Source organism: Homo sapiens, chromosome 3 (genome assembly GCF_000001405.40).
Source record: "Homo sapiens chromosome 3, GRCh38.p14 Primary Assembly".
In the NCBI taxonomy this organism is placed as follows: domain Eukaryota; kingdom Metazoa; phylum Chordata; class Mammalia; order Primates; family Hominidae; genus Homo; species Homo sapiens.
The window spans coordinates 123,967,349-123,992,413 of record NC_000003.12 but is presented as its reverse complement, the minus strand read 5'-3'; the positions used below and the strand labels follow the sequence as shown (position 1 = coordinate 123,992,413).

At 42.6% G+C, this 25,065-nt stretch overlaps 1 protein-coding gene across 12 annotated transcripts, besides 2 other annotated features; it reads left to right on the top strand.

Moving 5' to 3' along the window:
- Positions 2-518: an enhancer, noted in NCBI's record as "H3K4me1 hESC enhancer chr3:123710743-123711259 (GRCh37/hg19 assembly coordinates)". NCBI's record gives its function as "activates a minimal SCP1, AML or CMV promoter by ChIP-STARR-seq in naive H9 embryonic stem cells {active_cell/tissue: H9 hESC(naive)}" and the evidence as "EXISTENCE:reporter gene assay evidence [ECO:0000049][PMID:30033119]".
- Positions 290-23,399, top strand: ROPN1 (rhophilin associated tail protein 1). Of its 12 annotated transcripts, none has more exons than NM_001394219.1 (8): positions 290-492; positions 1,121-1,233; positions 10,990-11,035; positions 11,921-12,048; positions 15,433-15,550; positions 16,874-17,035; positions 22,197-22,372; positions 23,193-23,399. In NM_001394219.1, the coding sequence occupies exons 4-8, from the start codon at positions 11,933-11,935 to the stop codon at positions 23,257-23,259; spliced, it is 639 nt and encodes a 212-aa protein (NP_001381148.1). In that variant the 5' UTR covers positions 290-492; positions 1,121-1,233; positions 10,990-11,035; positions 11,921-11,932; the 3' UTR covers positions 23,260-23,399. The 12 variants fall into 12 exon arrangements, 7 of the variants coding, with proteins under 7 accessions (NP_001381148.1, XP_047304326.1, NP_001381146.1 ...); XM_047448370.1 differs by having other exon boundaries at positions 1,103-1,233; positions 11,810-12,048; NM_001394217.1 differs by lacking the exon at positions 1,121-1,233.
- Positions 11,675-12,174: an enhancer, noted in NCBI's record as "H3K4me1 hESC enhancer chr3:123699087-123699586 (GRCh37/hg19 assembly coordinates)". NCBI's record gives its function as "activates a minimal SCP1, AML or CMV promoter by ChIP-STARR-seq in primed H9 embryonic stem cells {active_cell/tissue: H9 hESC(primed)}" and the evidence as "EXISTENCE:reporter gene assay evidence [ECO:0000049][PMID:30033119]".
- Positions 23,400-25,065: the final 1,666 nt, after the last annotated feature.

Below are 25,065 nucleotides of genomic sequence, written 5' to 3'. Positions count from 1 at the left end.
CTCTCACCTACAAAAGCGCACCGTCAATGGCTACACATTCCGCCCCACCCCCAACGCCCCCAGCCCGGGTTTCCTAACGTCCCCAGCCCAGTCCTTAACCCTCCAGGCCGTCTGGTCCTTCCACCACCAGCAAAGCCCAAAACAGCTTTCAGCGTCCCCTAGCAGCGCCCTAGCGGGACCCTGGGAACCCGCCGCTGCAGGAGAGGCGGGGCGGCTCTGTGACGTCGCGCCCGGCGCTACCCCTGGTGACCTGGCAGCGGAGCCCGCGCAGGGTTTGCCAGGCGAAGGCGGAGCGCTAACGTCTAACGCTAACGGCGGTCGTGCCCCGCCGCTGCTGTCACCCCCGGCCGCTGCTGCCCTCCCCGCCGAGGTTCTACTGCTCTCCTTCTTAAGAAGGGTGGGAGGCACTCGGTCTCTCCCCACACCTCTCGCCTGAGGCCAGGCGCCAGGTGTCGCCTGAAGCCAGACAGCCGGTTTGGGAGCGAGCCTGAGGTAGCCACCCCGAGGGGAAGTGGAGGGAGGGCAGGGCTCTGAGCGCCCCGAGGGCTGCGCTGGTCTGAGGGAGGAGCCCTGCCGGACGCCCCCTGGATTCTGAGCCTCTCCTTGTTCACAGGGCAAGGGGAAGGCAAGGGGATCTTCAAGAGAATGTGACTGTGGGGGATTATGGCTTTCTGGCCAATTTGTGTGCGTATTTTGTACCCAGAATACTATTATACGGTTTCTTACCCGGAGGACAGTGGTTGGGAGGCTCAAGAGTTTGGAATCAGAGCCCTCCACCGAGGAGCCACACCTCTGCTTTTTCATCAGCGACAGGGATATAAAAATACCTCTGGGTGAATTGTCATGTGGATGTCATGGGCATACCTAGCACTTCATAGACTCCTATCACACATTATTTTATACCTAGCACTTCATAGACTCCTGTCAGGCATTATTTTATACCTGGCACTTCATAGACTCCTATCACATATTATTTTATACCTAGCACTTCATAGACTCCTATCACGCATTATTTTATACCTAGCACTTCATAGACTCCTATCACGTGTTCATTTTATAGCTAGCACTTCATAGACTGCTATCACGCATTCATTTTTACTAGTACCTATTGAACACTAAGTTCCAGGCACTGGGCTAGGCACTGGGATGGTGTGGTGAGCAAAAACTGACCAGTCCTGCCGTGGAGTTTGCTGGGGGAGACACATGTTACTCAAAGAATCACACTAAGGATAGGTAAGTGATGCTCTGGAAGGGTATGTACAATGGAACTGACAGGGTAATCAGGGAAGGTTAAGCAGACCTCCAAAGGAAGAATCAACCTGTTAAGAGGAGGAGAATGTATTCCAAACAAGAGTAACCACATCCCAAACCCACCATCTCCAATTCCAAACCCAAACAGGGATGTGCAGTTGCCTGTGCTTGGTTCCAAGTGATACTCATAGAAACCCTCTGAGATTCTGCCCTGGAGCCTTTCATTCATGTTACTGGAGACTTTCATTTATGAAACGGAAGCCCTGTTTAGCCCATACCAATAAAACCAAGTGAGAGATCCCTGAAACAAGGCTATAGTCTATTTTAAGACCTACATTCTTCAGCACTTGGCAGGTATATGTTGGCCTCCATTTTACATTGAGAGGCATGTAGGTTTCACTTAGGAGGAAATGCATTGAATTGAAAGAGTTGGGGTTATGGATAAGCTCTGGAATGTATAATTGAAGAAGACCTACACTATCAAGAGATTTAAAAATGGAAAATAACTTTACAAAATGTTAGAATTGAGGAATGTTAAGATAGAATGGACCTTTCTCCCACTTCTTTGATGTGAACAAATGACCCTTATTGCCCAAAGGCAGGAAAGCTGGGCTTTGGTGCCTCTTCAACTCAGAGAGTCTATGATTTCAACTCTGTGATTCAAAAGTGCATGGAACTCCTGAAAGTAAATGGGAACATGGGGGGATAATTTGACCTGACCCTCCTTTAGTGTTTTCTATTTCTACAAGGGTACCACCACTGTGCACCCAGTCATCCAAGCTTGAAAACTGATAGTCACTCTAGACTTTTCTGTCCTTCACCTCTTCCTCCTTCTCCACCTTCTCTTCTTCCTCCTCCTCCACCTCCTCTTTTCTTCCTCCTCCTCCTCCTTCAGTAGTTACCAAATCCTGTAGATCCTATCTCCTAAATACTTGTCTCTTATATCACTCCCTATTGCAACTACTTTTCAAGGCAGTGAAGCTCCTGGGAGTTGTCAAAAGTGCTGCCATATTCTCCTAACCTGGCTCCCTGCCTGAAGCTTCACCATCCTCTCTTCAGCTCATCCACACAGCTGTCAGTCAACGTGTTTCAGAGTCCAACAAAGAGAAATAAATCATATAGTAATTTTTTGAGCATATAATTTAACAAGAGAAGTTCAATATAAAGAATTGTTAATGATGGGATTGGAGTAATGAAGGATTGGCTAATATGTCAGGAGAGATCTAAAATATACAGGAATCACAGATATAAGGGGCAACCACTACCCCTGAGATAGATCACCCAAGGAAGAAACCTTTCCCAGAGCTTGGTGCATAGGGGATGGCCACAGCTGACTGGAGAGCAGAGAAATTGCTGAGGTGCCAGGCAGGCAAAATTTACTCTCTGAAACACCAGAGAAGCCATTCACTAAAAGGTAACTCACTGACAGCACTCTGCTATAGAGCTTCCCAAGAGAGGTGCCAGGGGACACTGCTAGCCATGGAGCACTGATAGCCACTGTGTACTCCAGCAGTTGGGCACTCAAAAGATCACACACTGCATGAAACAGATGCTAGAAAAGCTGTGTGCTACAGGATCCCAGCATAGGAGAAACTACAAGTTCCTGGAGCCTAGCAAGAAGAGCATACCTAAATTCCTAAGAGAAACCTCTTCCTCCTCCAGTCCTTCCAGTGCCCTGTCCTAACAAAGCATATCCTTATGACAGCTGACAAGGGAAAAAATGTTAAAGGACCTAGTTCAATTTTTGTGGAGGAGGCAATACAAGGTGAATTTGGAGCTGAGAGGCAAATATTGATAACCGGACCTAAAGCTAACACTGATTGTGTGACTCTTGTGCTTAAATTTTCTAGTGGTTCCCCATTGCCTTCAACAAAAAGTTCAAAAGCCCAAGCCTTGAGCTATATTTCCAGCCTTAGGCCCAACCACTCCTGCTTTGTCCACTTTAGAGCTCCATAATTACAGTTCCCTGAACTTGTCACGTTTCTGACAACCCCACATCTTTGCCTAAGTCCTTCTACCTACATGAAATTCTCTCCTTACTCTCATAAGTACACATATGCTTACTGAATACCTGCCCTGTACCCGGCTGTCTTCTGAGGGCTTGCAGTACAGCAATGAACAAACCAGGTTTTTCCAAGTCTCAGTTCAGATATCTCAGATATCACCACTCTTTGAAAAGTATTTTCTGACCTCCTTCTAATACCTGCAGATGTTAGATGCCTCATCCAAGAGTTTTTCTTCTGTTTTTCTTCTGTTCTTCTATATCTAGTGCAGGCTTCTTGACACTTATTATACCTTCTTTGAGTCACTGATTTTCCTGTCACTCTCTTCCACTGGACTGTGAGCTCCATGAAGCAGAGTGTGTGACTTATTTATTCATGTATCCCAGTATTCAGCACAATTCCAATAAAACACATAAATTTTGTCAGATTAATGATTTCCTAAGGATCACATAATTAGTCATAAATAGACCCAGGGCCAAAATCCTGGACTCCTGCCTCACAGTCAAGAGTGCTTCTTCACTACAGCTTCATCTGCCCTCTAGATGTTATGCCACAACTAGCTACGAAGGATAGCAGCCCTATGTTTTGCTTTGGAAAAGGCCAGTGCAATGCTGAATATCATCAGGAATGGTAATGGAAACTGAAGAGAAACATAGCCCTAATCTTATATTGGAAACTATAGTGCATTCACCCCCTCAGAGCCCTTGCTTGTAGGTTTTAAATCTCTGACTCACAGGAATGCTATAATGAAATCAGAAGTAGGAAGGACAACTTCTGATTGTCCTTCTGACCTGATTGTCAGCCTGACCAACATGGTGAAAACCCGTCTCTACTAAAAATACAAAAATTAGCCAGGTATGGCAGCACACACCTGTAGTCCCAGCTATTCAGGAGGTTGAGGCAGGAGAATTGCTTGAACCCAAGAGGTGGAAGTTGCAGTGAGCCAAGCTCATGCCACTGCATTCCAGCCTGGGTGACAGAGCAAGACTCCATCTAAAAAAAAAAAAATGTAGGAAGGACAAGTAAAAGATGAAAATGGTGTGGGGTATTATGACACTTACTCTTAATAAAGACTTTCATACTCTTATATAAGACAGGGCTAAGGTGACCCAAGTGTGTACACCAGGTCCCCAAATCAGGGAACCATGTTGCACAACTTTACAGGACATAGTTTACATGCCAGTCTGTAAATGAGCCATGTGTCCCTAGAATTGTGGATGATGATGCGAATGAACACGAGGGAAATCTTTGAAATATGAGCATGGCTTAGATAAACCAAAAGAGGTACCTATTCATTTGTTAAATAATAAACATGTAGAACTCATGCTTTCAAGAGGTAATACTAGCATGATATATAAGCAAGTTTGGGAAATTTGCTAATAAAGCCAAAAACTACTACTCAAAAAAAGGACAAGGTCAAGTAGGACTGCTCTTAGCAATATTGCTGTTGGCATCCAAATGCTGTGTTGACTTGGCCATGGGTTTGTCTCAGGATAGAAAAAGATCCAGGCTTCTGTGAAACACAGTTGAAGAAGGAAAGTTAATACGAATAAGGCAAATTGGGGAGATCTTGAAAGTCAGACAGGGCATAATTTTTATAAGAAAAGAGATGAAGATCCATTAAACGTTTTTCAGAGTTATGTAAAAACATGAGTGGTTAAGAAATTTTATTGGAGGGCAAGATGGCCAACTAGACGCAGACAAGTGGAACAGCTCCCACAGAGGAACTGAGATGACTGGAGTGCTTTTAACATGTCTTCAGAGGGAAGGCACAGACAGTGGACAGAGGGAAGGCACAGAAGCTTGGCTGAAGGGGGAGAAAGCTGGGAACCCCATACAGGCTACCATACACTGAAGCTCATTTTTGAACCACAACAGCTCTGGGGGAACGAGTGAGTTGAACTAGCAAGGAGCAACCTGCTCTCACCAGGGTCCACTGGAACCCTGGAAGGAGGGGACCCCTCAGTCACCACAGAAACTTGAGGTGGCAGGGAGAGCTGCTTAGAGAAGTAGGGCAGCAAGCCAGCTGATGTGGACCCCAGAGAGTTTGGTGTGGGAGTGTTTGTAGTACAGCATGGCCAGGGATGGCCATTCCACTAGGCTCAACTTGCTCCAATAAGAGACTTTAGCTGTAGGGGAACTGTTGGACCTGATCTCTGCAGGGCGGTCTTGTTCATCAGATGGGGCTGGTCTGATCTGAGCACCCCTTGGTCTGCTGGCCTCTTCCAGGCACAAGCCTGGCCATGCCTGCTTACAGGGCAGTCTCAGGTGCCTTGGGGGTCCACACCATAGCTTCTGCACTGGTGGACCATGCCTGATCAGTGGAGAGCTCCAGCAAGGTGGCCCCTATGGCTGCATGCTGCAGCCAGTACTTTCCCTCCCCATACTACAGCTTCCCTGAGCCCACAACAACTACCCACATCACTTTGCTGGCCCATGTCTGCACAGGCAGGTTTTGTTTTACTTGCCCCGCCAGCACACAAGAGTGTAGTCCACCCCTGCTGACCCCCACTGACTGCCACTGCAGACAGAGCCTTGGAGGGTACAGAACCAGCAAGCACCACCCCTGCCAACACCTTCCCTCGTGCTAACACTGTGCAGAGAACAGCAGATCCTCCTCCACCCTAAGCAACCACCCCTGCTTGCAGGACACAGAGAAGTCACCTGGACTTGCACCGGCCAGCACCCCACCCCCATTCAACACCACCTCCAGTGCAACAGCACACACAGTCTCCATCAGGGACCCCTGCTCCCCACAATAGCTGCCTTGCCTCTGCCACTGTGTGGTCATTTCAGGAACTTTTGTATGTCCCTGAGGACTTTGGAAACCATTTTTGTAATAATATTAATAAAAATTATTAATATTTAATTTTAAATTACCTTTTATGATGGAAAGTAAATAATATATATAAAGTACTTAAGGAGACTATAGGCCTTTTTGACTACAACAAATCAGTTTTCAAAGAAAATATGGCTGTCCTTAAGAATATTTTTAAATAAATCACATGAAATTTTTGAAAACTTAAGCATTTGGTAAGTAAAGGGGGAATTTTGGAAACATTATTTAATTTAGTAATTACAATTCTAGATTTTCACAAAATATAAATATCATTTATTTCAAGTATAATTTAAATATTTTGATTTTTTTTTTTTTTTTTTTTTTTTTTGAGACAAGGTCTTGCTCTGTCACCCAGGCTAGAGTACAGCGGTGTGATCTTGGCTCATTGCAACCTCATCCTCCCAACTCAGCCTCCTGAGTAGCTGGGACTATAGGCATGTGCCACCATGCCCGGCTAATTTTTGTATTTTTAGTACAGACAGGGTTTCACCATGTTGCCCAGGCTGGTCTTGAACTGAGCTCAAGTGATCCGCCCACCTCAGCCTCCCAAAGTGTTGGGTTTACTGGCGTGAACCACTGCACCCAGCCAAAAAATATTTTTATAAGACTTTACTGAAGGCCTAGAGTCTCCTTTACTAAATCATTAAATTATTTTCTATTATTTTTTTAGAGGCAAATGTTTATTATTTTTGTAAACAAACAAGTCATTACAAAAGTCCATTAAGTATCAGATTTTGGATATTTGTTTAACATCAAAAGCCAAGAATAAATAAGTCACAAACAAATCAAGTCACAATGGGAAAAAAAGTGAACAAAATCTACTGTTTTCTTAGGGACAAATGATGATGATGATGGTGATGGTGATGATGAAGAAAAATCATATAACTTCTTTGTTAGGAGAAAATAATGTGAAAAATAAGAGAAAATTAAATCAAAAGTAGAGCTAAGTATTTGCAACACATATGCATAAAGATTATCATTGTCACTGATAATAAATGCATTGCAATTAAAGTAATAATCCAACGTACAGGGATTGTTTTAACAAGATGGTTGAAAGGAAAAGCCCTATAAAGGCGTCTCTGGCAGCAGGTGTTATACATAAAACCTTCGGCACAGAAACAATAGGTAATGAAATCTGGAAGTTTACTGACTGTGCCAAACAGTATCCAAATATAATTTCAACTGTTGTAAGTTTGTAAGTGGTTGTACATTTTGTATTACTATAAAAAGTTTACAACCATCAATCTTTCATGGCACACCTGTAGCCCATTCTGCCATGGCCTCTAGTGGGGAGCTCAGCTTTAGAGAGCAATGAAAGGCAGAAGAGGATTGAGTGGTAATATGCATACTACAAACAATATTTGATGATATCCAAGTTTTCTAGGAAGGCCTATGGCACAGTATGAAAAACCCTGGGGAAGTATAGGGTTTAAGCAGATGAAAGAAGAAGGGCACTTCAAGTAAGCCGGCTAGAATTAGCAAAATACTGAGGGGAAGAGAGAAAAGAAGGATAGATTACTGTTAACAGTGGGCGAGACAGTGTTAAGCTTTGGATATATAATTTTTTTTTTTGGAAAGTGGCCAGAGCAGACTGTATAGGAAATTTGTGTTGGTAAAGAGTAGCGGAAAATTTTTAGTTTAGAATTATAGGTACAAATCATAGAAAACCTTGAAAGTCAGGATATGATTGTCATTTTGTGAGCAGTGCTCTCTGACTATAAAAAGCAACTTGGAAGATAGATCTGGACACACTGAACAGGACAGGCCAGAGAATGACCTGAGACAGGGAGACTAGTCAGGAGGCTGCACAATAGGTGATAAGGGGCTGAGCCAGAGACACAGGAGTAGAAATAGAAAGGGATTAATTGAAGACACATTTCAAAGGAAATAGTGGGATTTAGTGAGATTCAGCAGACTGAAGAAAATGGATGACTCTCAGACTTTGAGGCCAAAGGACTGAGAGATTAGTGGTATCATGTTCAGAGAAGAACCTGGGAGAGAGATTTAGTTGGGAGATGGACAATGGATTCTAGTGAAGTGTCCTGGAGGCAATGGGAAGTATGAAATAGAAGCACAAGGCGAGAGGTCAAAGATGGGAAAACAAGTGCAATCCACACAGTTTTGTCGTAGATAAAGCCGTGAAGAGGCTGCGAGCTCTCCAAGAAGAGCAACAGAAAGAATGCTGAAGACCTGAGTTGGGGGAAGATTGCTAACTCTTCCTCAGAGCAAGGAAGGAGGAAGAGGAATTATGGAAGGAGGCAAAGGAGCAATGCTGAGGAAAATAGACACACAAGAATGGCGTATGCTATCAAAGGAAGAGAAAGTCTCAAGAAGGAAAGAATTGTCATGTCTAGCAGGCCACCTCCCATGTCAGACTATGTGTATTCAAATCCTGCCTCTGTCACTTATTATATGTCATTGCAAAAGTTCTGTTATCTTTTCTAGTTTCATTATCTGTGAAATAATGCTAATATATTCTACCCCATAGGGATATTTTGAGGATTACTTGAGAAAAATGTATGGTCCTGTACTTAGCACAGTACTGGTCCTGTTATGAGTGCACCTGGCACTTACAATAAATTAATAGATATAATTGATAACTTTTAAGGGAAAAATAGAATGATGAGAAGAGAAAAAAAAACTGCAAGAGGTTAAAGAAGGACCAACCCCTGAGAAAGACAATGGGTATGGAAAACTTACAAGAGATTCCTTGCCCCAAAATGAAAAGAGCTTGCAGACCAATTGTTAGAAACAGCAATGGGATGAAGTAAAGGCTTTACTTAAGTTTGCTCTATACTGACTAAGGGTTAACATTGTTACTGTTGTCATGGAAGCTTCCTTAATTAGGATTGGGGCATCTTTTCGTTTACACGAGATTATCTGAGACTCCAGGAGAGAAATTAAACAATTGCACAACCAAAAGATCCTGTCAAAATACATGGACACAGAAAATGGTGCAGCCGCTGTGGAAAACAGTGTGGCAGTTCCTCAAAAAATTAAAATACAATTACCATATGATCCATCCATTCCACTTCTGGGTATATATACCCAACACAATTTAAAGCAAGGACTTGAACACATATTTGTATACCTATGTTCATAGCAGCATTATTCACAATAGCTAAAATGTGGAAATGATCCGACTGTCCATTGACCTATGAATGGATAAAATTGTGGTACATCTAGCAAAATAGTATTCAGCCTTAAGAACAAGGAAATTCTCAGCTTGGGGCCAGTGGTGCAATGGGTAACACATCTGACTATGGATCCAAAAAAAAGGAAATTCTGACACATGCTACCACATGAATGAACCTGAAGACATTGTGCTAAGCGAAATAAACCACACACAAAGGGACAAATATTATATGCCATATGATTTTATATGATAGTCAAATTCATGAAGATAGAAGAATGGTGGTTGCCAGGAGCTGTGGGGAAGGAGAATAGGGAGTTAGTACTTAATGGGTACAGAGTTTCAGCTAGTGAAGATGAAAAAGTTCTGGAGATGGCTGGTGGTGATTGTGGCACAACAATGTGAATGTACTTAATGACACTGAACTGTACATTTAAAATGGTAAATTGTATGTATTTTTAACACAGTAAAAGAATATATATATGTGCAGACAACATGAGCAAATAAGGCACTGCTCTTTGATAGATAAAATGGGTTGAAAAGTCATCAGAAACAACTTATAAGAGTAACTTTTTAAATGATGAAATATTTCATACTGACAAAATTAAATACATGATGTAAGTAGAAGTATAAAAATAATGAAACAAGCATCTAGACAGCAACCATCCAGCTTAAAACATAGAGCATTACTAATAGTACTGAGACCCTTGTTGTATTTCCCTAATAACATCCCTCTCCATCCTCTCCCTCCTCCACCAGGGGTAACCACCATTCTGAATTTGTATTTATCATTCCTTACTCTTTATTATAATATTATAACATATATATGTCACCAGAAACAATATATTGCTTTTCCACCTAGCATGGTGAGACTCCTCCATGGTGATGTCTGTGGCATACTCATTGAGAATTGTTGTTATTGTCTTAACAATTGAAGCTTTTTATCATTTTATCAAAAACAATTGAAGCTTTCGTCACTCTTTTTTCCTAATAGTGCATTTTGCCTTAAAGTATCTTTTGTCTGGCATGAGTATGTCTACCTTAACTTTTATTGGTTATTCTTTGCTTATTTATACTCTTTTCACCTTGAGTCTTTCTGTGTCTTCATTTTTTCAGGTGTACCTATACCTGTATTTTAACTGGCACATTTAAGCCCATTTATTTTTATTGTGATTACTGATATGTATGCATTATTTTCTACCATGTTATTTGTCTACTTTTCCTGTTTTTACCCCTCCTTTCTTGCCTTCTTTTTGACTGATGAAGGGTTTTGTTTGTTTGCTTGTTTGTGTTTTTAAAAAATTCCTTTTTTCCTCTCTACAGATTTAGTGGTTACATTACTGTTATAACTTTTCTAACACTTTGCAAAGTCTAAAATTAATCATTATTTTATCCTCTTTTTCCTCCAAATAAAAGAACATAAATAAAGTAAAAGGTCATGAAGTCCCACCAACCTAAGACCACTTTAGTTTCTTGTCTTGGGATTTCCCAGCCATGCTGGTGTTGGCATAAATTGAAAACTTAGAACTAGTCTGTGGCTACCAACTCCTGGGGGACTGTTTCTCTCCTGACTAGAAGCAGCAATGGAGACAGGTTTCTTTGTTGCTTACCCCTGCCTGTAGGCGGATATTTTCAGCCACACCTTTTCACGCTGAGGGTGTAGTCCCTGGGCGGGTCTCAAGTTTAGGTCAGAAGGGGAGTCCTTTAGTCCAGACATTTGCCTTTTGTGAGCCTAATCCTTGGTCTCTATCCACCCTGCCTAGCAATTTATCTCAAAGCTGCAAGTTCCTGCCATCTACATGTGCCCAGGTGAGCCCTAGTTTCTTCATTTGCCCAGCACTGCGGGTTCCCCTTTACTCACCTCATTGGCCACTGGAAGATTTCTCTCACTTCACTGCAAGCCCAGCAAGGCAATGTGAAAGGCTTGTACTGAGATTTGTCTGGCCTCTAGGTGTTTTGAAGAGGGACAGCTTTTTAGCATATCTAGTCTGTCCCTTTCTCTACTAAAAGCAGAAAAAAATCTTTTGATCTGTTGTTTATTTGTGGAGGGAATTGTATACACTTTATGGATTTTCATATTTTGTTTCAATTTGTCCTGGAACTTTTTGAGAGAAAATGTACGAATTTTCCACCTGACAATTAGAGTGGAAAAGAACATGCAGCTGTAAAGAGAGACGCTCACCAAATGGCTGTTTAATGACTATTTTTATGTGGAAATGGCCTAATGTCAATTCACAGAGGGTTCAGAGTAAATTTTGCTACAATTCTTACCCAACTAATAAGTGCTGGACGACATGGAAAGATGTTCATGATATACTTTTGAGTAAATAAGCTGTTTTGTATAATCTTATTTTTTTATTTTACAAACATATATATACTGAAAAATTCTGGATTTTGGGGGGTGATATCATTATTTTGGGGCGATATCATTAGGGAATTTTTTGCTGACCTCCACTTTTTAAATGAACAAGGGCTGTGTAATTTTTATGTAAAGGACATAACTATTTCCAACAAAAAGTAGGGGTTAGCAGATGGTTTTCTAACCTTGGCGTTGTGTAATAATAGAATGCATTTGTCTTGCAGAGTCCCCAAAATTGAGTGTCAAACAGAGGCTGGGTGACCTCCTGTCCAGGATTGCTCTCATCGTATGAATCGAAGTTTTCATCTTAACGTATTTTTTTCTCCTGAGAATAGGCCAACCAATCAATGGCTCAGACAGATAAGCCAACATGCATCCCGCCGGAGCTGCCGAAGATGCTGAAGGAGTTTGCCAAAGCCGCCATTAGGGTGCAGCCGCAGGACCTCATCCAGTGGGCAGCCGAGTACGTGCTCCTTTCTCGCCTTCACCCCTTGGAGGACGGCCGGAGACAGAGGGTCCTGTAAAACCGCGGAGGTTGTCATGGCTGCAGCTAGGAAGTCCGGACTAACTGGCATCGTCTTTGTTTTAGCTCTTGCATTGCTTTGATGCTTTAAAATCCACACATAAATGCTACATCTAGCTGGGCAAGGATGGGATGCCTCCCCTAAGGGAGCCAGATTGAGCAGTAGGACGCCAGGTCAATAGGCCGTGTCCTGGGGCAAGCAGCAAGTTAGATGACCGCGTCACACCAGCGTATGCACACCCACCTCCTCCCTGCACGCCTTTTCCCACTCCCGGTGGAAAGAAGGGCTGGGAATCTCCGAAGCTTAATCTGCCTTTCTTCGTTCTCCTGTCTCACCACTAGATGGCAGCAGTGCAGCCGGGGGAGGGAAGCGACAGCCCTGGGTGGATGGGGTGGGACCAGTCCTGCTAGTTCACTCCTTTAAGGAGACACTTCCTCCCCTGCTGTTAAAACTCATACTTGGACCCAACCAAAGACCCTTTATATCTTGTCTTGGAGGAAATTATTGTTATTTTCTTTAGTGTTTCTCTGAACTGATTTTGTTCTGCCAACATAAAGATGTCCGCACAGTACACACTGCATTCTGGGGAAAGGCCAAGCAGAGTGATGGGGTCCTCAGGCATGGCTGAAAACAGTGTGCCTCAAACACGGGTGCCTTCTTTCAGGAGAGACCTCCAGAGGCTGCTCAGTAGATGGAGCTTACACAACAATCGCTGCGGGCCTGGATTGAAGTAGCTTTGCACAGAAAGCCTCTCAGCTATGAAATTGCTCCTTGGACAAACTTGCCTGCTTGAAACTGGGGAACCAGGACTTGAGACAGGAGTTGGAAGATAACTAGACCTCACGGACCATTTTCAGGCTATTTTTACTGTTTGATGATTCCCTGCTTAGGAGGGTTTCAGTGGGAAAGTGAGAGTGAGAGAGGCCGTTGAGAGAAAGCCAGTGAGTTGGGGAAGGGAAGATGTCCTCAGGCTGAGGTTGTGAGTGGGTGTCCTGGGCAGATGGTGGGGAGAGTGTGGACACCTTTGAGAAGACACAAAATGGCATCTAAGAGGGGCCTTTCGGAGTCTCTGGGCCAGTGCTGTGCTCCTGGACTGGATTAGGATGTAGCTTTTACAATTGGAAGGAAAATAAGCCAGTGGTGCTCATAAAAAGAAACATAAATGGGGGTTGCTTTGCCTAGTAATGAGCCCTGTTTAGTTCTCCATTTTAAATTTTATATATTGCCTCTAAGATTGAACTTTAGCTTCAGAAGACTAATTTATTTTGGCATAGTCAGATAGACAGACTTTATCTTATACGTTAGTTTCAAACCCATTTGATTGTTCTTGTGCTGCCGTTTTATAGTAAGCAAACTGACATTGCTTAGTATTGTCCCTGACATTTATGGAAGAGGCATTCCACTATTGTAGACTGCTTGCTCTCGTATTGTATCACGTGCTATAATTTTTTTAGACATCCATGAAAACTTAGTTTGTAGTTTAACCACAATGAAAAAGGAGGGCATGACCTAAGAGCCCCCTCCATTCTATCCAGACATGAAAAGCACTGCTCAGATGGTTGTATGTGACTTACTTAAAACCTGTAGCATTTTAGAGAATAAAACTCTGCAAAGTGTTTCCAAGACAAAATACGTTTTTAATCCATTGCAAGTAAGAATTTCCCTACATATGTGTTGTCAATGAAGAAACCTCTTACCAGGCATCGGCAGGACATATACTTATTTGTCCTCTGGTAGGCATGTGTTACAACACAAATTTGCAATATATGTGTATAACCATGGACCTGATCACTTGCAAATGAAGCTCAATAACCCAAAGAACGAAATCCATGATTACAGCTTTGCTTCCATGTTGTCTAACCAATTCCACAAGAAGTCCAGAGATGTTGGTGATGAGTGTTACTCTACCTGGGCAGCACTTCTGTGGAATGAGGTGCTGTGTGTCTCTGTCCCTCCCATTTATACCACCCAAGTCTGGTTTATAAAGCCTGAGGCCACACCCTGCTCCTATTGTCATATTGCACCCACACCCCGCCCACCCCAACACTGATCTGTGTGCAGAGATTTCTCATGCACATTGTTAAAGGTGCCCTTCCTGCTGATGACCTCCAAGGGGTGACTGGCAATTACTGCTTTAGTCCATGTAGCTTTCGCTCTGCCTTGCTACGTGGCTCAGAGACAGGCAATGGTTAGCCCATCATTGTATGGCTTGACCCTGAAATGGACTTTTACAAAATTCCCTCTATATTATTTTCATACTACCTGGATCTGGAGGAAGTAATGGAGGGAAAAAAGCAGGGCGGGACAGAAATTTGTGGTTCATGGATCGTCAATAACCAGGCTTTTGATGGAGACAGACCCTGCCATGCTGCATTGGTGACCCACATGTCAGCGGCTCATGTCCATTCCCTGCTGCAGGCAGCCTCTTTTCATCTTATGCCAGTCCTGAAACAGAACTCAGTACTTGTTCCACAATGCCCCCAAACGAAGTCCACTCCACAAAACATTGAGGAGCAGGCAGATTTCACTGAAAATTTTGAGGGAAGATGGAGAAACAGTTTCATTTCAGAGGCACCATATAGCTTAAGATTGTCTCAAACCTTCTTCGGCTTCTCTTCTCTCCTGAGCCTTGCAGGCTGCCCTGCCAATGCTCTCTCCCTTCCCTCTTGAAGCCCCAAGCCTCACTACCTCCAGCCAGAAACCCTTCCTGATTCACCCCAGGACACTTCCATCTCTTCCCCTTCCCTCCTTTTTTGTTTCTTCAGAGATGGGGGTCTCACTCTGTCACCCAGTCTGGAGTGTAGTGGCACAATTATAGTTCACTGCAGCCTCAAACTCCTGGGCTTAAGTGGTCCTCCAGCCTGGAGTCACCAGATTACAGGCCCTAGCCACCATTCCTGTGCTGCCTTCCCCTTTCTTACGTACATTACTTTTTAGTTCTCTTCCAACTTCTCTTCCCAATATTATATATACATATGTAATATACATCTGCGTGTATAAAACACTCAGAGATGACTGAAAAAGAAACCTGAACCCAATATGCTCCAGGGAATTGCATACCCAAACTTTTCTTGGTTCTTCCTCATCCTTAGAGAAGAACAAAGCTTTGTATTCTCTAAGCATTCTCTATGCCCTAAGTGGAGAGTAACACATTCAGACTTTTCCCATATGTAAGTGAACTAAACACAATGACACATAGAAGCCACTTAACAAAGGTTCCTTTCTCTACCTCCTTCCCTCAGAAGAAGGTGGAAGGATTGCTAGAACAGCCAGAGGCCACTGGTGTATAGGATCCTCCTACTCTCTGACTTTTTTTCTTGTAGTTATTTTGAGGCCCTGTCCCGTGGAGAGACGCCTCCGGTGAGAGAGCGGTCTGAGCGAGTCGCTTTGTGTAACCGGGCAGAGCTAACACCTGAGCTGTTAAAGATCCTGCATTCTCAGGTAAGGGCCCTGCTGCAGCATTGAGGAGAATGTAGGGACAGTGTTGAGGCTGGGTGGGTACAGACAAAAAGCCCTCTGTTCTCCTGACAGTCAGCTGACCACTTAGCACCACCCTAAAATACACTAAACCGTGGACTGAAAGTAAATCTTTCCTTGGCAAATGGGAATAATTTTGAAATAGGCTGTAGGCTGAGTCATTGGTGGGGTCATCCCAGATTTCCTTGAAGCTGGCAGAATGTACAGGGGCTCAATGCAATGCTAATCTCGTCTCTCCAGAAAAGTGCAAGTCCTCAGTCACTGGACAGTGTCTCCTTACTGATCAAGACTGTAATATGATGAAAATCACAGTTTGGGGAAGGGCATATTTTAGCTCCCCAGCTATCCAAGGTCCAGACATTGCTTTTAGCTTTTAGGGAGAGGCTGTGAGCCTCTTCATAGCCACATCATCCTGGGAGCTGCCTGGTGAATGAATGCATGAGGAAGGTGCAGCTTGAGAAAGTTTGTGGTTTGGCAAATTCCCAGGACATATGGTTGAGCACCACCAAACCCTGCTTTATGGTCCAGGACAGAGCGGTTTGGGGTGATTTAGGACTGGCTTGGCTAACCACCTTGGTCCCAGAGGCTTAGCATTTCACTAGAATCAGACAGTCAGGAAAGGTGTTGGAGCACTTCATCGGGCATCTGTGCTCTTGTTGCATTGGTGGCCAACAACCAGTCACCTTCCCTCCTTTTATCCACCAAGTACCTTGTGCAGTGAACATGACAGAGCTCTAAAATACCTGGGATCAAGCAACATTAGGCATCCAGACCAAATCCCCACAGGTCAGCCACATACCCCATATCATTCCTGGGAAAGCATGAGGGATGCACTTGAGGTCTAGAGCTAAGAACTCAGTGCAATCGGGAAGAAACAGACCTATGTCTTGTTCTAATTTTACCATTCATTAGTGGTCTCAGGTAAGCCCTCTACCCCTTGGTTTTGTTTTCAGGCTCTTCTATCTGTCATATAAGGAATAAAACAATTTAGGAATACAATAGCAGATAAAAGCATCACCAGAAATTAAAATGTAATATAAATGTATATCTTTTGCATAATTCTGACACCTAAAGTTTGAGAATTAATAAATTATATTTCAGCATGCTCTTCACTAGGATTTGCAAAGATAACTGCCACACAGAGCCATCTTTACCTTCCTAACACCCCCTCCCGCCCCTTGCCATGTGCTGGGAGATGTGGACCTGGCCTGGGGACAGGGTGTTTCTCAGGGCCTTGTCTCAACTTCTCCCACAACCTCTGTGTTGTGTCTGTCCCCTGCCCTGCAGGTTGCTGGCAGACTGATCATCCGTGCAGAGGAGCTGGCCCAGATGTGGAAAGTGGTGAATCTCCCAACAGATCTGTTTAATAGTGTGATGAATGTGGGTCGCTTCACGGAGGAGATCGAGTGGCTGAAGTTTTTAGCCCTTGCTTGCAGCGCTCTGGGAGTTGTAAGTTAGCTTGACTGTTTTTTGTTCCTGAAGGGGAAATCTCCCTCTGGGCCTGGAAGGGCAGTGCATCTATACACGCGGTCAACTCTGCAGGGCTGATGATAAACATGCCTCTTCTCCTCTTGTCCTTCTCCTCTCTAAAGCAAGGTCATTTCTGTGCTCGTCAGGCAGTGGCAGGGGTTGGGAGGAGGAGAGAGGGAAACACTGTGGTCAGGCTCTGGGGAGAGTTGACTACAGTGTAGCTCTTGGATTATTTATGAATATTGCCCTCAGATTTATTTTCACTCCGCTCCTTCCATTCATATTCCCAGAGACAACCAAGAGCCGACTGTAGAAAAAGACTTCCAGACACCTAGAATATATATCAATAGACACTGTTTAAAAGGGGTACAATCTTATCGAAAACTATGTAATAAACAGAATTGGATGCAGAACTCAGACATAAGAAAGCAAAAAAAAAGAGAGATGAGGCTATTTCTGAATTTAGTCATGACATCTCCATGGATGCAGGATGTTCATACAGATTTATGCCTTTTCCAAATTTGACTTGTTTGATATTGGAAATGCAATTTTACTGTTTTGAAGCCAAAGATGCTGAAATCAGCTTATATGTATAGATATTTAAAGCTTGGGTATCTTATATGTGGACTTACATTGCTAAACATTGTTAAAATAACTTAAAATGAATCAAAAACGTGTTTTTTTAAAAGAATCCCTGAGATACATACAAGTTTGAAAATTATTGAGAAAATAATTGCCTCTGCCAAAACCAAATGGTATGAAAAGGTAGTCTGAATCATTCAGCATATCTAAACATAATCTTGTTCTTCTCAAATATGCTTGGAATACATATTTGACAGGTTTGTTTCTGAGAAAATTTAGTGGAAATATTGTAGTCCAAATTTCCTATAGATTCCCCTACAGCCTTCATCATAATCATTTCTTTAGAGAGAAGTAAACAAGAGGACATTTGTGGCACTTTCTTCATTGTCCTTTATAGCATTTATTACTGAATAAATCACTATCCTCTGAGGAGGAAAGGAAAGTAAGCAGCAGAGGCCTATGAGTTGTCAGTCAGGACTGGGGAAAATCACAAACAGGAAGATAAAAAATGAACATATTTTATTAAATTCTCATAGGGTTACAGATTTTTTTCACACCACATTTGGAGACGTTTTTGGGGGAAAATATACCTTTAAAATTTTATCTGTAGTTAATTTGGATCTTCTTGGTCTACCCCACCCACAAAGGGTCAAATAAGAAAATAAATAAATTCAATCCAATCCTGAAATTTTAGTCTGATGCAGTAACTGAAACAGCCTAAAGGTAAATTTCCCAGTATCTCAGGTTTTTCCTCACCACGCTCTCTTCTCCAAGATGGCAGTTGAATGTAGGCAGAAAGAGCTGACTCTAGGACCACAGAGCAGTCAAGTGAAGGGTTTCTCACATCCCTTAGTCTTCCCTGGCATCTCTGGTCTCCATGGTAATGCCTGTCTGTCTGGTCGCTAGCTGCTTGCAGCTTAAGTTTTTGGTCTCGTCTCTCCCGGACTGGTGAAAGGCTGATGATGCCTCCCCAACTGGCTCATTTCAGTTCTCAATGGTGTCGAGGGCCTCCTTGATTCTCTGCCAGGCTGTCCTATCTGCTCCCTGGCTCTGGTGGTCTACTTCACAGACCCTCACCAGTGTGTGGTGTGTCTGAGTTCTTCCCTTATCCCCATACCTCACAGTAACAAAGAGTGACTTTGGAAAGTCAGATTCCAACCCTCCCTCTGCTTAGCCCACGGTGTAGATGCTAGGTTTCCTCTGATGTACCTGCCTCCCAAACTGGAGAGGGGAAACCATGAGGTGAATTGAATCTTTCTACTTCCCTTCTAAAATAAGGAGGTGGGATTCAATATTCCATGAGGTTCATCTACCTCTGACATCCTGTGATTCTATCCCCACTTCTCTGCTTCCTCTGAGACACCCTCAGGCCCACCTCTGAATAACAGTGAGCTCCTCCAATTCTAAGAGGCCTTGACATATCTGACTTTGCTCCTCATCATCCCCATGTCAAAGAACCCCTAGAGATAAAGTCAGCCTGGAGGTTAAATCTGCAAATAAAGGGTGTCCTATGAAACCAGTAATCAATACCCTTATATTCATTTCTATCATGCTGGAGCTGGACTGTTTCTGGGATCTTAAATGTGGGGTTGGCCAGTGGTACGGTGTGAATGTTTGTGTTCTCCCAAAATTCATATATTGAAATCTCAACTTCCAAGGTGATGGCCTTAAAAGTAGGGCCTCTGGGAGTTGATTGGGTCATGAGGGTGGAGCCCTCATGAATGGGATTAGTGCCCTTATAAAAGTTGCCCCTCCACCAAGTGAGGACACATAGAAGGCATCATTCATGAGGAACAGGCCCTCACCAGAGAGCAAATCTGCTGGCCTCTTGGTCTTGGACTTCCCAGACTCCAAAACTGTGAGCAATACATTTCTGTTGTTTATAAATTACCCAGTCTAAGGTATTTTATTATAGCTGAGACTAAGTCAGGGGTCACCATCTGGTGGAGACCTTGCATCCTAGTTAATTCATATATCCTTAGAGGCAAGCCCAGAATTTCTCTTTCCTTTGCCAATTCAATAGCAAGACAAGATCTCTATGCCATTCAGAAAAGCCAGTTTGTTCCTTGTAGAAGATCTAGTAACAGGAATTTTTACTCTGGTAGGTAATAGGTACATTTACTCCATCTTGAGCTCTCTGCGTCTAATACACATTATTCAGAATGCGATGGCATGCAGACCTGTATTCCTCCTCCCTTCAGCACTCCTTCCTCTGGACTGGCCTATGCCACCTCCTGTTCCACTGAACTGATTATTAAAAAAGGAAGAGATCACGTATGTAGAAAATAATCATGTTCACTGGAAGGAATGACATATTTGTTAGCAAACGATTTACATTTCAAGGCTTTCACCTCTAACTTTGAAAATGAAGCTCGCAAGATGCTTAAAGATTATGTCTGTGAAGCGGATCCCAAAAAAATATTGTGCAAGAGAATGAAGATCTGTTTACTTTAGGTTTATGTCAGTTTACCAAATAGCTCCAGTCCAAAGAGTTATTTATACACTCATCCATTTATTAAATCTTTAAAAATACTTAAAAATCTTATGAGGCAGTAGAATTTGAAGGTTTGTAGTTTGAATAATCAATAAAAGATGATGTTTAGGGTTGAAAGCCGCTATGTTAGTTTGTTGCCATGACTTGGTGGCTTGAACAACAGAAATTTGTTGTCTCTCAGTTCTGGAGGACAGTTCTGGGAACAAGCTGTCAGCAGGATTGCTTTCTTCTGAGGCATTTCTCCTTGGCTTAAAAATGGCCAGCTTCTCAAACTGTGTTCCTCTGTGCCTACATGTCTGGTGGCTCTCTCTTTATATCCTAACTCCTCTTCTTATAAAGACACCCTACTAACTTCATTTTAACTTATCTTTTTAACGGTCGTATGTTCAAATACAATCACATTCTCCAGTTCTGGGGTTAAGGCTTTGGCATGAACTTTAGGGGGAACAATTCAGCCCATACCAGCACCCCATGGGAGAGGGCAACAGAACAAAGCATTAGGGGTGCAGAGGGTTGTTTTTGTTCATTTGTTTGTTTTTTACAGAAACAGGGTGAGCTGTGGGTGGAAATTATAATGTTCAGAGTGTGCTTGCAAATCTACCCCAAACCATTCTCCCACTGACCTCATCTCACATGCATGATTTACCATCCTCCCAGACAGCCTCATATATACTAGTTGGCCCCATGCCTGCCCTCCCACCTGCTCTGAATTAAGTGAAAGTGAGTAGAAGATGCAGTGTTTCACAACAATTTCCATGAGAGGACCCCCAGGGGCAGAGGAGAGGAAAGGAAGGTGGCCTGCCTCAAACTCAATTTTTTTTGACATCATGTATTGAAGATTCTGTTTTATAAAATAACAATGCTTATTAAATGTAAAGAATCAAATTTGAAATATTAACTCAATTAAAATTAATAATTATTACAAATTATGTTTAAATTACTTGCCATCAAGTAAAACTATCACTCAAGGAAGAGTTTATTCACATCCTCAGTACCTCCTGACATAGACTTACGCTCCTGGGTAACACACACCACAGTTAGAGAAGCCTCATCTAGGCAATCATTCTGTTCTGGGAGAGGATGAGAGGAGAACAGCAGACATCAACTGCTAAGGCAGGACAAGTCTCCTCTACTAATCATGTGGGAAGATACAGCAGCTGCTTTTTCACTCACCCTAAGTCACCACTCAGAACTGATCTTTCACTGATCCCTGGAAGAGTGTCAGGATGATCCGTACATCATCAGTTTCAGTAAACCACCAAGATCTGTTGGTGACCTTCATTTCACAACTCTTTTGCTTGTAACATTTATTCAAAGGGTGGGTTATTTAAAGACATGAGATGAGTTCTGAGCATGCTCCTTTAATGTTCAAGTTTCATTGCAAGGAGGGTTTGCTTCTGTAGTAACCCTTCTATTAAAATTCCTGGCACTCATTGTCAACCAATATTTCCCCAGCAATAAAAGGGTTAGTATTATGTAGTATGAAATAAAGCACTAGCTGATTCTATTTAGATGGACCCAGATGCTTTAGAGGAACGTTTATCTTGATGTTTAAGAACATTTTTCCAGTATCTTCCTGGGACTCCATTTTCCTGGGGAAATTACCCTTCTCCTACCTTCTTCTCCTCTACTGTGTCATTGCCACAAGTATCCTGCTGGACTATATAGGCTAGACCATCTATCTCAGCCCTTTAGAGATAAGACTGGAGGGTAATAAGAAGAAATAATTCTAATTATATAGAATGCAAATCAACTTCCCTCCTTTAGTGAGGTTATTCGGGCTAAAGTAACAAATATCTTAAAGTACTTAGGAATGTATAAATTTAATTCCTTGAGTAGTCTTCCAACAAAGAAAGAAAAGAAATAAAGATACCCAATACTTAATATTTTTTAGAATGAATTAGTGACATTTGAATGTAAAAATTTCAAGCTTTCTAGAATCTTAAATTGTTCCCACTTCATTTTATAAGAGCAATATTTTTGTTTTCTTTCTTGTATCTAAACCGATCTCAGGAATATTGCCTGGAAGAGTAACTTTCTCCTCATTTTATCTAACTTTTATAGACTATTACCAAAACTCTCAAGATAGTGTGTGAGGTCTTATCATGTGACCATAATGGTGGGTCGCCCCGGATCCCGTTCAGCACCTTCCAGTTTCTCTACACGTATATTGCCAAAGTGGATGGGGAGATCTCTGCATCACATGTCAGCAGGATGCTAAACTACATGGAACAGGAAGTGTAAGTTAACTTTTGTCAAGTGGAGGTGAAAGAATACCAGGAAAAGAAATCTAGCTGGCCAAGATAGTGAGATTATTGTATTATACTGCTCTGGAAACAGAAAAGTATTGTGAGAAACATGAAATATGGATGATCTGAAAGAAAACGGGAAAGGGAAGGAGAAGAGGAAGGAAAAGAATGATATAGGAAAACAATTCTTTCAGTGCTACTGAGACTAGCAGTAGCGGCAGCAGCACCTAAGAAGATGTTAGAAATGCAGAATCTCAGGCTACACCCTGGACCTATGGAATCATAAACTCTAGGGCCAGAGCCCAGGAATCTGTGTATTTATAAGCCCCCCTAGTAACTCTGACTCACGCTTAGCTATGACCAGTGGAACAGAAGTGGAGAAGGAGGAGGAGGAGAAGCAGGCAGTCAAAGGTTAAAAGAAAAAGAGGGCCGGTCATGGCGGCTCACACCTGTAACCCTAGGGTGGGTGGATGGCTTTAGCTCAGGAGTTCAAGACCGGCCTGGGCAATCTGGTGAAACCCTGTCTTTACTAAAAATACAAAAATTAGCTAGGCGTGGTGGTATGTGTCTGTATCAGTTAATTGGGAGAATAGCTTGAGCCCAGGAGGCAGAGGTTGCAGTGAGCCAAGATTGCACCAGTTACTCCAGCCTGGATGACAGAGCCAGACCCTGTCTCAGAAAACAAAACAAAACAAAAAAAGAGAAAAAGGAGCAACAGCAGAATTAATGTGAAATGAGAGTTGTTTGCATATTGTCTTTCTTAAGATTAACTGTCAATGAACTAACTGCAGATATACCTTTTTCCAAACAGAATTGGCCCTGATGGTATAATCACAGTGAATGACTTTACCCAAAACCCCAGGGTTCAGCTGGAGTAAAAGCACAATTTTGGCAATTTTAAAGGAAGATACAGAGATGATTGTACTTCAGAATGACTGAAACCCATATACCACCCAAAATCAATTTTCTTGTACAACTGGTACACACTAATAAACAATTAAACATATGAGATCAGAAATGTGCAGAATTAAGATGTGAAATTGTTGGAACAAAACACCTTCATTACCAGATTAGTATTCTTCCCACATGGACACTGAGTAAAAGTGGCTGACAAAGCATGGATAGAAAATGCATCTTCAATCAAAGCCAGACTGTCAGATTTTAAAAGGTAGTATGTTAACCAGACACAGTGTTGTTGTTCTGTGATTGTTAGGCATAATTTAGATGAGTGTCTTTTATATGGTCAATTGAAGTTTTTACCAGTTTATTTCTCCATTTGTTGGTACTGTGCTAGTCATTCATTCATCCTCTCACTCATCAATATTTATTGAGGTTAGCTATGTGCCAGGAATAGGGTTGCAAGAAATAAATACAGGACACCCAGTTAAATTTGAATTTCAGACAAACAACAAATATGTTTTGTTTTGGTTTTTGCTAAACCTGGCAGCATTCCAGGAACTATGCTGGCTTCTGAGCACATACAAATAAATAATATCAGAATTCTGCCTTCAAGGAGCTCACAGTCTAACATTAAGATACGACATGAACATAATTCACTTTCATGCAAATGGCCTTGAGAAGAACTAACAGTATGCCAGAAAGTGTGTCAATGGATTTTTCTGAAACCATATACAGATGTCATGGAACCCACTAGAGAAAATCCCCTACATGAGCCTAAGACCTTCTGATAAGGTCTTAAAGATTTTCCTTTCTCGAAAGAAACAGATGAGATTAACAGGCTGTGATTATGGTTCTTAATGTCAGGTGTGCCAAGGTCACTGGGTCAGTCCCTTCTATTTGTAATACTATCCCCTCTTAAAAGTCACTTTTGGGCCAGGCGTGGTGGCTCACGCCTGTAATCCCAGCACTTTGGGAGGTCAAGGTGGGCGGATCACGAGGTCAGGAGATGGAGACCGTCCTGGCTAACATGGTGAAACCCTGTCTCTACTAAAATTACAAAAAATTAGCCGGGCGTGGTGGCGGGCACCTGTAGTCCCAGCTACTCGGGAGGCTGAGGCAGGAGAATGGTGTGAACCCGGGAGGCAGAGCTTGCATTGAGCCGAGATCGCGCCACTGCACTCCAGCCTGGGTGACAGAGTGAGACTCCGTCTCAAAAAAAAAAAAAAAGTTGCTTTTGCTCAAAAATAGTGTTATGTTACATGCATATATATCTCTCTCCATCAATTGAGGAGAAATTTGTCTATTAGTGTCCAAAGGTAAGAGGAGATTGTGATTGGATGTTACCATGGTCCTTAATTTCTGACCCGAGTGAAACAATAAAAGGGACTGAAACAAATTCTTCCCCCACAGCACTGGGCTGCACCTGCAGGGGATGGGCAACAACTAATGCTACCTGCTGTCTACCTTCCTAGCCAAAGTGGCCCCTCATTTCCTTTTTTTTTTTTAATTAAACTTTAAGTTCTAGGGTACATGTTCACAACGTGCAGGTTTGTTGCATATATATACATGTGAGTGGCCCCCTCATTTCTATCTGCTCTGGAACCTAAGGCTGTTTGAGAAGGCTGAAGCACTACAGGTGAAACCTGACACTGTAATTAATCAGGATTAGAGAACGAGTGAAATCCTTTAACCTGCCTCAGATTCTTGGTGTCTCTCAGTTTCTCTTTCACTGTGGCCAAAGAACTGAAATATGATCTTGTCTGCAAATAGGGAATAAAGGGGGA